Raw genomic sequence first — 14,689 nt, 5'->3', positions numbered from 1 at the left:
TTTTGTACCTTTCTGGAGTCTTATGCTCTGGGACAATGGTAATACTCAAATACACAAATAATCTGGAATGCTTATTAAAAAATACATATTTTGGCTACCCATAGATTTATCAGAAATTCATAATTTCAAGATAAAGAATCTCATTCTTAATCTACATCCCAAACTATGCTGACATCAGTGACAAGTGGTTCACATGGAAGGAAGACTCATCTCTATTGTGAACTCGTTGTGTATCTTATTATTCTTGTTTCTCCATTTTTGGTTACGTAACTACTTATTTAGAAGCATTTATTTTGATGACTAATTCGTGTATCAGTAGTAATACATCACCCAATGTTAATTAACAAAAACATTTCATTATTGGTGTAGAAATCATTTTAGAGTCAAACTCATTTTTTTCATTCAGAAGTAAAAATGCAGCCTGTTTTATCTTTATAAGTAGAATACATTAGTAGTAGAATATTAGAAAGGTTAAATAATGTTACTTTTCTGTCATAAATGGTAAAACATCACCCTGACCAATATGCCCTCCTACCCCAGGCCTTCTGCAAATGCAATAAAATCTCATTGATTATTAGAAGCAATAACTATTTTTAGCAGTATGTTTGTGAATGTCATTTCTTCTAACTGCTCACTCAGTATCTTATCAGAAGATGTTTGTGAAATGTGAATAGCTAAAATATAAGACTTACTTTTGAAGAAGAGATGTAATTTCATATGGTGTGTATGTGTTTTTTTTCTTGCTGAAGCAGTTAGCAGCTGCAGCAGGTATCATTGCAGAGATGAGTAGATACTTAGAAAAGCTTAGAGGCCCTTAGGGCATATTTTTATTCTAGGTCTTAGGTTGCAAAAGCAACTAATAGACAATATCAGGGGATAAATGCAAAAGTTGCATTCCCAACCTGAGTTGAAAACAGAGCGTATTTATTTTTTATCTTGAAAAACATTTTAGAAAGCCTGAAATCTGAGCCTGGCTTCAGAGGTTAACTGACCCCATTTGAACTTCTTTTATCTTCTATTCTACTCTCTCTTTGCATCTCACATAGAGAAGATTGGTACTAAGCATCATTCCCTAATTTATAACAGGCCAGTTGAAGTACATTGAGACCATGCTAAGACCATAAAAATGATGGGTATATTCAAATCTACCCCCAAAGGCTGAGGGAGCTGAGATGCTGAAGAAAGATGCTGAAAAAAAGCCAGTTTCTCAGAAATACATATTTAATAGGGACTTATGAACAGAAATGATATCTTGGGTGGTTGTGATACGGTGGATTTCGCAATCTCCTCTAGAGAATGTCCTTTAGATAGCAAGCATTTAGGGTAAAGACAAGTGCAGCTAGTTACATCTCAGACTTCCATGCTGTGACTTGTTACTTCCGGGGAAAAAGACCTTGCTTCAGAACACCGTGATACGCAGGAGTCAAACATTGGGCATTGTGATGGTTTTCCTCAAGATGGTGGCGTAGTCACTCGTGCCATGCAGCAGGCAGGCTGTTTTCCTGCGCTATTCAATAAGTGATTATTTGTTCTTAATTATTGCCTCAACAGGACAAAAGTAAAATAAAATAACAACGATAAGAAACCCTGTGACTTTTTGTAACCAGAACACACTCATCATTCTTATAATTAAATCTTCAAATTGTTTGTTCTCAATTTGTACCACTGCAAAGTTTTTCACTATATTTTTCTCCTCTTAAATATATTGTCTTGGCAACATCATATGTCTATTATAATAACATCGACCTTCATCTGTAGCTTTAATCTATAATTCTCTACTCAAACATTCCTTTAATTTCTCATTAAATTATTCATTTTTTCAGCAGACATTTATTTGGCACCAAATAAATATGTATATTGGACAAGTATGTTGTTTGCTCTCATGTAACTTACAATGTAAAGGAAAAGACGAAAAATATGGGTACATTTATTTTTATGTTTAATATGTTGATATGGACTGAATATATTTTTGTCCTCCAGAAATTGAAATATTGAAGCCCTAATTCTCAATGTGAGGGTATTTGGATATAGGATGTTAGGGAGGTAATTAGGATTAGAAGAAGTCACGAGGAGCGAGGTTCCCATGATAGAATTAGGTGATAGAATTTGTTGGATAAACTCCAGATATTTTGTGGAGTTAAAGACAAAATGAAGTGCTCATGGATTTATAAGGGTAAGAGAAAGGGTTCTCCAAAACAATACATGCATTTGTGACTGGATAAACTATATGAATTATGACAGAGTTTTCTAAAGGGGCAATATTCTCAGACTAAAAGAGGAGCATGTTTTGAAAATGTCACAACAAGGCTTTTGGGCTCACGTTAAGTTGGAGGTGTCTGTTAAACTTCTAAGATCAGATATCAAGTGGGCAGTTCAATGTGCAAGCTGAAAATTTATAGAAAAGTCTATATGGAAGATCCAGAATAAAATTATAGATTATAAGCATAGACTTATAGGTTGAAATTTATTATAGATCAGAGTTGTTTTTAAATCCAAGAGCCTGAATGAATGCTCCCTGGAAATCATATAGATACAATAATAAAATCAAGCCTCAAATGGACCTCATTTTATAGATCAGGAACGAAGAAAGAGCTAACATAGAGAAAGAACAATTGGTGAGGTATAAAAATCAAGGTAGTGTAAGGTAATTGAAGACAAAATAAAATAAAATTATCAATTTTTCCAAATATATCTGAGGGTTCAAAAATTTGAAAAGGAACTCATTATTGAATTTTGAAAGGTAGAAATCAAGGAGGATGTAAAAGAAGAGCCTCAATGCAGTTGTAGGAACAAAACTGAGGGAAAATTTGTTTAAGGATTTGTGAAGTAAGAAGCAGGTACAACCAAATGTGGATAACTTTTTCAACCCATTTTGCTATGAAGCAAATCAGAGATATAGAATGGTAAACTTAGGAAAATACAGAGTTGAGGAAGGAATTTCTAAAGTTAAAAATACTAAAGTATATGTCTACAATAACATAAATTATCTAGAAGAGAAATGAAGATAAAAGAGATAGTAGAAAAATAACAAGAAAAGAAATTCAGAAACCACAAGAAGGCAAAAGAAAAGAACGTATCCAAACCCAAGCCACTGAACTACAAGAGTGTCAGGGACAAAAGTATAACCTTCATATACAATGTCTTCAGGGAAATGGGTTGTGAGAAAAAGCCACAGTCAAGTTATAATAAGAGGTAAAGATGGAGGGAAGACAAAAAATATTGAGTATATGGACAAATTTGTTATAGGGAATTTGTATGAAATTATTGAATTGAATGTACAGGATAGTTAACCAGTGTGAGTCCAGTGTGAGTCTCTGGATGTGACTAAGGTAAACAGATAAATGAATTATTGTAGGGTTCCATGGAAATATACAAATATATTAAAAGTATATTCTAGGTAATTCACAAGTACAGATATTTAGGTTATATATATTGATTATAGCATTATATATTCTTAAGTGATACTTAACTCTTTTATGAGGCCTTTATAAGCCTTTTCTAGCTGTGTTTTATGTATTACATGTTCCTATATCACATCTGAAAATCTCCATTCTGTTCATTATCCTGTCTTTTGTTGTTGTTGTTGCTGTTTTTTTCATTTTCTGTTCATGTGTGTTTTTCTCCCACTACATTTTTTTAGGGCAGAAACTGTGTCTCATATATCTTTAGCTTCTACATGCATATATTGGTGCTTACGGAAGACACAAAAGGCCCTAGAAGTATATTAGTTAAGGACATTAGTTGATGTTGAAATATTAAGTTTTAAACACACAGAGAAGAAAATAGTCATGTAATTCAGGAGCATTGTAATGAGATTTTCTTTGTAGGTTTCTTAATATGTAATACGAAGCATAAACATTTTTAATTCCCATGAACTTGGGACCCTATTGGAGGGTTGAGCTGGAAGTACTGCTTTATCAAAGGGATTTGTTCTCATGGCAGAATCACGTTAGAATTTCTCCAATCTTTTTTTATGCCTAAAAAAGAAACAACAACCTATTTGTATGCAGAGAAACTTGAAACCCACTAGGTGTCTCAATCAGAGAAAATTTAACACAGGGAATTGGTTACATGGGTGACTGAAGACCAGAGGAACTCAATGTATGAGGAAGTAAGTAAGAGATTAGAAACAGCAGGAAGCACTACCACTCCTAGGACTGGAGGGACACATGAAAGAAGTGATATTATGTGAGCCCTGAAGCTTCTCTATAGCAGAGGCAAACCTCAGCAGGATCTAAGACCACAGAGAAAAGGGCTATTTTGCAGGAGCTAGAATCACAAGGAAGAAACAGCTGATACCAGTGAGGCCACTGGAAACAAATTCTGGGAGCACAGAAATAATCTTGCTTCTTCTCTACACTTGACCTCTGTTCTTACAGTTCCTCCCACTGCTAGAGGGCAAAGGGGCTTGGATAAGGTTGTTCCTAAAATATTAAGCAAAGAAAGAAGGGAAAATATAAAAATGTATTTAAGATAAAATATCTGCAAATTGCAGATATATGTTCTAAGATCAGGGGTATGCAAAGATAAATCTCTCAAATATATTTTACTAAATAATATAAAGTGATCACAAAACATTTACAATTGTGTTCTTACAATGGAACAATTTGGCTGAAACTGCTATAGGCAATGGACTCATTTGGAAGCGTTGCCCATTTACTCATGTATTTATTTGTATTGACAAAAATCTATGACTAAATTTTTAGTTCTTCATTTGGTTCATACATTATAAGAAAAATCCATTCTTCTTATCTGATTTAGAAATAATAGTGTTAAGATGGTAGAGTTCACTGATTTTGAAAGCCTAGGAAGAAATCGATTGAACAATATTTCTAGTCTCAGATCAGTGTTGTATGCCATTTTTAGTTTGAAATTACCCATTTGATTCTGCTACAGGAAAATGATGTTAGACAATTTAAGTAATAGCAATCAAAATTAATGAACATGCTTTCATTAAATTCACACGTACTGAAAATATTGTCATTGAAATCACTTTTCCCCACACAAAAAGAATATTTTATTTTGAGTGTTTTCTTTCTAATAATTTTCACTTTAAATGCCATAGAATAGGCCAAGATAACTTCAGTATATTTTACCAATAATTTCCTAATTGGGAATTGGGTTTGAGTCCATTTTTCTTTCATAAGAGGATACATATCTTTCAAAACAGAAGAGGGAAGTATCTTTAATGAAAACCCATCACAGATAACTTACATTTGATTAATATTGTTGATATTAGTGGATCTTTTTCCTCTAAACCTAGCAGTTTTTTTGGCAAATCAAACATTATTTTTCTGTCTCTGAATAAAAAATAAGTCAGGTTAGTAAAGAACAGTCACAGAAATCATATAAACTACTAAATCAAGATGGACCTAAGCTTTCAGCCCCTTCTTGGGTTACTTAATCAGAATTTTTTAGGCAAAGTCACAATGGGCCTGCAGGGAGTGACAGGGGCCTAGTTCAAATAGAAGAAATACCCTAAACAGTAGCCTAGAAGGAAGAGAAAGCACATCTTATAGAGAAGCCCATAAATCTATGCATATAAAATATTAAGTTTGAATGCTAACAAAATAAAATATAAAGCCAGAGTGTTCATAAGGACGACTTAGATCATGAAAGTGCTGAAATTTGGTACTCTTAGAGTGATGGAATTTCATTGAATTTTTGTAATGAAGAGACATGATCAAATTTTAATTTTAAAATATCTTCCTGCTTTAGTGTTGAGAAAACATTGATAGGAATATTGCAATAGATTGAAGGCAGAGAGAGCAATTCAAATGCTGCTGCAATTATCCTTGAAAGATGATAGTAGTTCTTGAGCTACTTATAGGTAGAGGGATTAGAGAGAACTGGGCTGATTTAAAAGCCACAAGGAAGAAAGCAGTGAAAAGCCATTGGTTAGATGGAACATTTGAATTAGAAAAAAGGGTTAAAGATGATAATAATTTCTGACTTCCAGACTTATTTTTACTTAGTTTTGTGCCTCAGTATGTTCAATAAGGTTAATGGCATTTTGTAAGCCTACATTTTCGGGGGTCAATTAAACAGTCTTTCCAAACATAACCGCCAGGTATTTTTTTTTCTCCAATAAGTAGGATGTAGAATCATAAAATTAGAAGTGACCTTAAATGTCATTTATTTCAGTGTTCCAAATGAGATGGCTAATTTTATGTGTCAACTTAGCTAGATAAGGGTTTGGACAATACCAATCTAGATGTTGAGGTGAAGGTATTTTGCTTCAGAAGTGATTAAAATTAAAATTAGTAGACATCGAATAAAGCACATTGCCCTTCATGATGTGGGTGGGCCTCAATTAAATTAGAGGAAATGCTTGAGAAAAGACTGTGGTTTCCAGAAACCAAATCAAACGAAAACAAAACTGCTTCCAAGCTGCAACATAGAGTTTATACCTGAGTTTCAAGCCCTTTGAATAAAGACTGCAACATCAATTATTACCTGAATCTTCAAACTGCTAACTTCACAACTGCATGAGACAATTTTTAAAAATAAATATTTCTCTCTGTCTCAAATCTCTTCTGTTGGTTCTGTTTCTCTGGAGAATTCTGACTAATACATCAACTAATATGAAAATCTTTGCTACAACATTTCTGTTAGAAAGCCTAGCTATTTCTACTTGAAATATTACTGTGAAGTAGATTTAGTTTCATCAGAAATATTTTTTCCTTTGGACGGGGAGACATTTTGGTTGTTTGAAAATTCTTTTTCTTTTTTTTTTTTTTAATTTAAGTGAAAGGGTAAAAATTCTATTTCCTTTAACTGCCTTTTACAAATTAGTTGTTTTTGGTGGAATGGGAAGAAAGATTGTGTATTGTGTGGTTACTTTTTGGTATGTAAAATGAGAAAATTGACAGCATCTCTTATTACATATAACATTAATGAGAGGGTCAAATAGGAAGAAACATGTTTGAATTACTTAGCATTTTTACAAAACTTTACAATATTAGGTTTAGTTATCATTACCATATTCTCTTCTGAACTATTATAAAGTTTATAAAAACTGATTATTATTGAACATCTATGATGTAGTAACACTGGTGATTTACATTATTAGTGATGAATATGAGTTTCATTCTACAAGTTATTTGAGAATTTTTAGGTGTTTTCTATAAACGTTAATTCTATTCCAAATGCTGATTTTTTAATTGGCAGTTCATCTTCCCTTGCACTACATCTTAGTTCATGAAAGTTTACATAATTTCACAAAACTGGATATTTAGAGCAATGGGTAACAAAACCTGGTGTTTTGTCAATACAGAGATTGCTCATCAGACCCTACTCTTCTGTGTCAATTGTCAATTCATTTTTTTAAGGCTGCTTCAATGCCAGTGACTTTCATGGCAATTATAAAGCTTCTCTCAGGTGCCCTGAAATTCACTTTGCTACTCTTCTTCCACCATGACTAAGAGAAAACATGGTGAGCTGCCTAAGACCTGTACGCCTAGATGTGTTGAGTTTTTCTTACTGTAAAACATGATAGTTTTTCACCTATCTGTAGGAGAGGGAACATTTGTTCTTTCTTGAATGCCTCAAATCTATAAGGGAGAATTCTCATTCTCTGCCCCTGCTGTGCCCTGCCTCTCGCAATCATTTGGCTCAACTACTGGAAAAAAAGCAGGGTGTGCAATTGACCTAATATAGGGTGCCCTACTTTCTTTTTGTCCCTTCATATTCTCTAATCCCATGGAGTAGACATAGATGATATAGAAATAGAAATAGAGATATAAAAAGAAAAAAAGATATAAAATGAAACATATTAAAAAAAGAAAAATAGATATAGATATAGGTGATGTGTAGGTGGAATTTCTTCCACTCACTGACTGTTGGCCCTTGATGTCCTCTTCTGCTTTTTACCCACTGTAAATTCCATTGTCAATCATTACAGATCCTCTCTTGCTTAAGCCCACACCAAGAGTCTTTTGCCCCATGGGTTTTACAACTTGGCTAAATCCTAAATTCTGTCTACTCTGTTTTTTTTTTTTTTGGTCAGTTCCACAAGGCCAGAGGGAAAATACAAAACCACATGTGTGTGTGTGTATTGGTTCTTAATGCTTCCTGGCTCTTAAGCAATACTTTGCTAATTCTCTCTCCCACTATGAAGAATCACTATTTCACTCCTTTTCTTCTCTAGCCAGTCAGTCCCTATGTTCTTTCACTTTTTTTATCCTCAGCTTTGCATTTTACTAGGAGAATTAAAAGAAATGCCAGAGACTCCTATTATAATTTCTATGTACCTATCTGCCCAAATAACTACAAGCACTTTCTTTGTGTCTAGTTACCTATAATTCTATCTAAATCCCATCCCTTTATTTGGGCATTAGATCCTATACCTTGAAATCATATATAATCTGTCATATTCCTCTCCAACAAGTTAATGTCAGACATGGGATTGTATCTTTGGTGATGTAATCAAGCTTCATGGCTTTAAATACGACCTACATATTGTGAAGTCCCCAGTTTTTTCTCCAGCAACAATCCTATATCCTGTATTTCACCATTCTTGACGTTTCCACTTGGATATCTAATGTACACCTCAAACTCAACATAGCCAAGAGGTAATTTTTGCTCTTTATCCTGAAACCTGCTCTATCAATAACCTTTCTCCAATCGGTTGGTATCAATTTCATCTTTCTACTTGTTTGGAATAAACAGTAAACATTTTGAAGTCATTTCTGTTTATTTTATATTCTGTGTCAAATATATCAGAAAATATTTGCTCAACATTCAAAATACGTACCAAATACAATCAGTTCTCATTTCTCAATCACTGCCATGCTGGTTCTCCCTTGGATCAGTGCAAATTGCCTTTTAATAGTTTCCCGTGCCCCCATGCTTGGCCCCTTATAGTCTGCTCTTAATTATTCAACCAGAGTAAGTGGATAATTCACTCCCCTGTAGAATATCTTACAATGGCTCCTCATTCCGCAAATGCTGAAGTCATTGAAATGGCCTATAAGATTCTTCTACAGTTTGCCCATTACCTCTGAATTCATCATCTACTTCTCATCCATTGCTTACTCATCTCCAACTATACTAGCTTCCTTCCTGTAACCACAGTATACTAAGAATACTTTCATCTTAATGCATTTTCTCTAGCTATTTTCTCTGACTGACCCACTCTTCCCCTAGGTATTCACTTGGCTAACTCCATCACTTTCTTTAACTCTTGGTTTAAATTGCATCTTCCCAATTAGGTCTAATCCCGCCTGCCCTACTTAATACTACACATTTCCTTCCCCCACACACCATGTTAAATCTCCTTTAGCCTGCTCCTATCTCCATTTTTAAAAATATATAATTTACTTCTCTACTATGGTAACTTGTGACTTTCATCCCTTACTTCTATATTAAAAGATAGAAACAGATAGGACAGATATCTGTGCTACTTTGTTCAGTTGATATATTCTAAATAATGGGAATAAAATCTGGAGCGTAGTAGGTGGTAATAAATGAATATTAATTAAATAATCTAGGGGTGAAGCCTATTATTTTTCTTTAGTGTTCCTAAGGATGTATCTGTTTAAAGTTTAAACATTTTTTTTCTTTTTGTTCTCCGGCATTCTACCCCAAAATCATAGAGATCATTAAGTCTAAATTGATTGAGATAAGGTCAGGTGTATAAAGAAAAATATCTTAAAATTGTCAGTTCTTACATAAAATGTTAATCAGCAGTTGTTTACTTGCTTTTTAACTTAGCTCTCAGAACACTTTGAAGATTGTGTTAGTAACAACATTTTATATAAGAAGAAAAAGCCATTTAGAAAATTAAGTAATATACCCAAGTTCATAGAACAAGATGGTGACATAGTTACTTTTTGAGCTGATGTATTTTTAATTTTATTCCCTCCATGTCACACAGAGAACCATGATCATGTTCCACTTTTATTTCTTATCTCTATTTAAATGCCCTGCTTCTCCATATGTTTTCTACTTTCTTATCACTCTAATCACTTTCTTTAGGCTATAATTAAGCCAATGATTACAGGCTGCCCAGTACCCCCTGGGCCCCCAAAATCAAAGTGCATTTATATATCAAGTCTTAGGTTCACTTCGAATGTATAAATATGGAAATACGTGTCACAGGTTTACACCTTTTGAAAAAAACAGTTGTTAATTTACAATACCATAATAACATAGTGGTATTAGTGTTTGCCATGACACAGTTAGTGTACTTAACTCTCTATATGGTGAATGGGAGAAAATATTAAAACATGTATTTGTTCCTGGGTTGCTTCCTTGCATTTCTCCTTTATGCTCCTCTTCCATTCCATTTTCTTCCATGACTTTCTTCTTTTCATATTTGTAAAACCCCCACTAATTATGAGATATATTACTAGGTACTAGAAAGCACAAATATAAAGACAGGCATAATCAAAGCATTCAGAGTCCAAATTGGAGTGATATCTGTGTACAACAGATTGTGATACATTCTTCTTTAAATGCTGTAACGAAAATATATACAAGTAGGGGAAAATAGGTTTTATTAGCATCTCATTATTTTTTCTAAGTATGTTTTTGTGTGTGCTTACCTAAAGCAATTACTTTCAGATAAAAATCACTTTGTTGGCTGTGCGTCGTGACTCACTCCTGTAATCCCAGCACATTGGGAGGCTGAGGCAGGTGGATTGCTTGAGCCCAGGAGTTTGAGACCAGCCCGGGCAACACGGTGAAACCCCATCTCTAACAGAAATACAAAAAATTAGCCGGGCATAGTGGCAGATGCCTGTAGTCCCAGCTACTCAGGAGACTGAGGTGTGAGGATTGCTTGAGTCTAACAGGCAGAAGTTCCAGTGAACCAAGATGGCGTCACTGCACTCCAGCCTGGGCAACAGAGTAAGACCCTATCTCAAAAAAAAAAAAAAAAAGAAAGAAAGAAAAATAAAAAAGAAAAAGAAAAAAGAAAAGTCACTTCGTTAAAAAAAATTCTACTTCTGTTAAAGTGTTGTTATTGTAATGAAAAGATACAGGAATTACTTGCACACATTCCATGAGGTTCTAAAGTTTTTATTTAAATAATACTGAAAATATTTTCATAGTAATTTAGTTTCAACCTTCAAGAAAAATGATCTCCAGAAAATGATCATATTGTAAAGCTTTTTGCAGGCTTAAACTGGAACAATTTTGAGGACAATTTAGCATTAAGCTAAACGACGCTTTAAATAGTAGTAGCATACCTTTTTAATTTAATGGCTCTACAGCTTCAATCACCAAAACTTAGCCAAATTCTGTTTCAAATTGAAAACCACAAAAGAGTGTTAAATCTAAGAGAGTTTGAAACCAGATAAAACCTAGATGAAATTTTATTCCACATATTGTCACACTTGTTTGGTTGAGTCAAATTCAATATTATTGTGAATGTCAGGAGGAACTTGGCATCAGTGCTGCAAATATTTTGTTTGACAATATGTATTTAAACAACTGAGTCAACAGAGCCGCATCTGTGCATCTTTCTACTAACAAGGGACCCGAAGTTTGCATTCCAGGCATTGAAGCTAGCAAAGACCAATGTAGCAAGTCCTGCGAAGGGTGAAAAGTATTCATTCATTATTCTGAAGGCAATGCTTCCTATCAATATGTGGAAAGAAATAAAAGTAAATTCACAGAATTACATAGAAATTGATGTAGAAAAGAAATTATTATATAGTAATCATTAAGCATCTTTTGAATTCCTTTTTTGGCTTGAGAATTTTATCCTATTATGATTCACACCTATCAATGTAGAAACCAAAACTTACCTTTCTAATTAGCAGATATATGCAAGTCTATGATTCAGAAATGAAAAAGCAGAGGTACACAAAATTCATTCTTTCTTTAGGCATTGGAGATATCAAGCTTTAGGGGGAATAGTAGTGTCAGGGTTTCTACTATCCAGCCCCCTGACTCACCTATAATACCCATGATGTGTTTGATGAGCTTCCCAATGCAGAATGGCAGCAGCAGTAGCTTCTTCCTTAAGGCAATCTCTATGCTGTTCTATGTGCTTTTCCTGGTTGAGTAACTTACTCATGAGTTACTTCTGGTACTTTTTGAGAGTCTGTGAGGTATGACATATCATTTAATAAATATAATGCCTAATTCCATTCTGATGTTTGAAACCAGGAACTCTGTGTAATGGCACGAATTATCATATAATGGTTCAACTTTTCCATGACTCTTGACAATCTCAATTTTTTAACTTACCGTTTCTGTCATAAAATTCTAGACAAGCACACCAGCCCACACCCACATACATACTCACACACAACTCTCATTTAGGTTTTGGTTTTCTCTTTTATCATGAAGACTTCTGAGACCAGATGGAGGAAAGCATACAGAGAAGCTTGCAATACCACAATAGATTCATAGTAATCAACCTTTAAATGTTGAAATTTATGTATTTCCAATGCATTTTTATCTACACTTAACTTTAAATATCTCCATCTCCCTCTTCTAGGATCTTAACTCTCATGAAAGCCTTTGTCACTGTTAGCAACTCTACCTTTTACAAAACAGTTTAATCCCTTTACTTTCCTGACATGTAAACTGAATTTTCATACTGTATCTCCATTTTTTTTCTTCTCCGTCTCACCTCTAATTCCCAATACTCAAACTATCTAAAAAAAAATGTTGAGAAGTTTCAATGCATCTTAGACTCAAAATCCCCAGATCTGGATTGTCTATCACTTCAAAAGCATCTGCTTTCCTTCTCTTCTCCTGCCCACCCATTCTTTTGATGGTTTCTCCTATATTAGGGAGTAGCAGCACCATCTATTTAATCTAAAACCCAGAAATTCAGAGTCTATGTCTCTTCCTTCCCCCTCAATTCTAACATTCCATCAATCACCAGTTTTACCAATTCTACCACTGCTTACATGTCTCCATAATTCATTTTCTTTGTTCTTCTTTGATATACACAACGGTGATTAGTTCAAGACATCAGGTCTTACCTATATTACTGCAAAAGGTCTACCAAACTAGATATTATCCCCATTCTTTTATACTTTCCCATCCATTCTCTAGAGTGCAGCCAAAAAAATAAGCCTAAAGCATCAATATCTTGCCCTATATGAGTTCTTTCTAAAGATTCTAGTTTAGATAATATCTAATCTTTTCTTTTTTCATGGCCTATCTGATCCCAGACAACCTCTCTAGGCATAAAATCCCCTAAAGCTCTCTTGCATGCTGAGATGCAAGCAGGAGGAGATTGATAAATTTCTGGAAAGCACCCTGCTTCTCTTATGCCTAGAGGCTTAGCATATTACTAACTACTACTCATACTCCAGCTTATAGAGTAAATATGCTTTTTTAAGGAAGTGATTTATAATGTACTAAAAACAGTAGATGTATTTTCTAAGTCTTCCCATAAAAACTGGCATATTATTCATATATTTATTATAATAAATCATAATGATTATTTAGTTATATATAGTTTTTTAAGAATATTGAAAGCCTTGTGAAAGCAGATAATTTTTTAAAATTTCTCAACATTTTCCCTCAAAGTCTAGCAGTATAAAACTAAATGAATAACAGATAATTGATACAAATCTGTGAAACAAATTGTAATGGTTAATTTTATATGTCAGCTTGACTGGGTTCAGGGATGCTCAAATAGCTGGTAAAATATTATTTCTGAGTGTGTCTGTGAGGGGGTTTCTGAAAGAATATAGCATTTAAATCAGTGGACTAAGTAAAGAAGATCTACCATCACCAGTGTGGGCAGGCATCATCCAATCCCTTGTGAGCCTAAATAGAACAAAATGACAGAAGAAAGATGAATTCTCTCTCCCCTTGAGTTGGAACATCCATCTTTTTCTGTGCTTGGACATGGGTGCTCGTGGTTCTCAGGACTTCAGACTCTGGGATTTGGTCCAGTGCCTTTCCCACCAATACCCTCCCATCACTTCTTAGGATTTCAGCTTTGGACTAGGGGTTACAACAGGAATAACCCTGGTTCTCAGTCCTTCAGACTTGGATGAGTCCCTCCATGGCCTCCATAATCAAGTGGGCACATTTCTGTAATAAGCTTTTTCTGACATATATGTATGTACTAGTCCATTTTTCATGCACTGAAAAAGATACCGAAGACTAGATAATTTTTAAAGAAAAAGAGGGTAAATAGACTCACAGTTCCAAGTGGCTGGCAGTCCTCATAATCGTGGAAGAAGGTGAAAGGCACGTCTTACATTGGCATTAGTCAAGAGAGACAATGAGAACCAAGTGAATGGGGCTTCCCCTTATAAGACCATCAGATCTCCTGAGACTTATTTACAACCAGCAGTGAATCATTAGAGAACAGTATGGGGGTAACAGTTCCCATGATTCAATTATCTCCCACCAGGACCCTCCCACAACACATGGGAGCTATAATTCAAGATGAGACTTGGGTGGGGACACAGCCAAACCATATCAATCTATATGAGTGAGAGTGTGTGTGCTTGTGTGTGTGTATATATATGTATATATACATATACATATATATACACACAGATATACATATATATGTGTGTGTATATATATATACACACACAGATATCCTATTTATTCTGTTTCTCTGGAGAACCCAAACACATAAATACTATTCATTCTAACACATAAATATTATTCATTCTATATGTAGATTCATTATAGATTCATTTTTTACAATGTGTATACAAACACACACATACATACACAACAATTTTGGGGAGTATAT

At 34.3% G+C, this 14,689-nt stretch overlaps 1 long non-coding RNA gene across 1 annotated transcript; it reads right to left on the bottom strand.

Moving 5' to 3' along the window:
* Positions 1-1,203: 1,203 nt before the first annotated feature.
* LOC107986271 (uncharacterized) lies at positions 1,204-14,186 on the bottom strand. The gene is made up of 3 exons (XR_001741654.2): positions 14,123-14,186; positions 11,904-12,052; positions 1,204-1,507 (listed from the first exon to the last, which is right to left on the bottom strand). It is a non-coding gene; the product is annotated as an uncharacterized LOC107986271 (long non-coding RNA).
* Positions 14,187-14,689: the final 503 nt, after the last annotated feature.

Source organism: Homo sapiens, chromosome 4 (assembly GCF_000001405.40).
Source record: "Homo sapiens chromosome 4, GRCh38.p14 Primary Assembly".
Classification (NCBI taxonomy): domain Eukaryota; kingdom Metazoa; phylum Chordata; class Mammalia; order Primates; family Hominidae; genus Homo; species Homo sapiens.
Note: the sequence above shows the minus strand (reverse complement) of the source record. Positions and strands in the feature narration are given on the sequence as shown.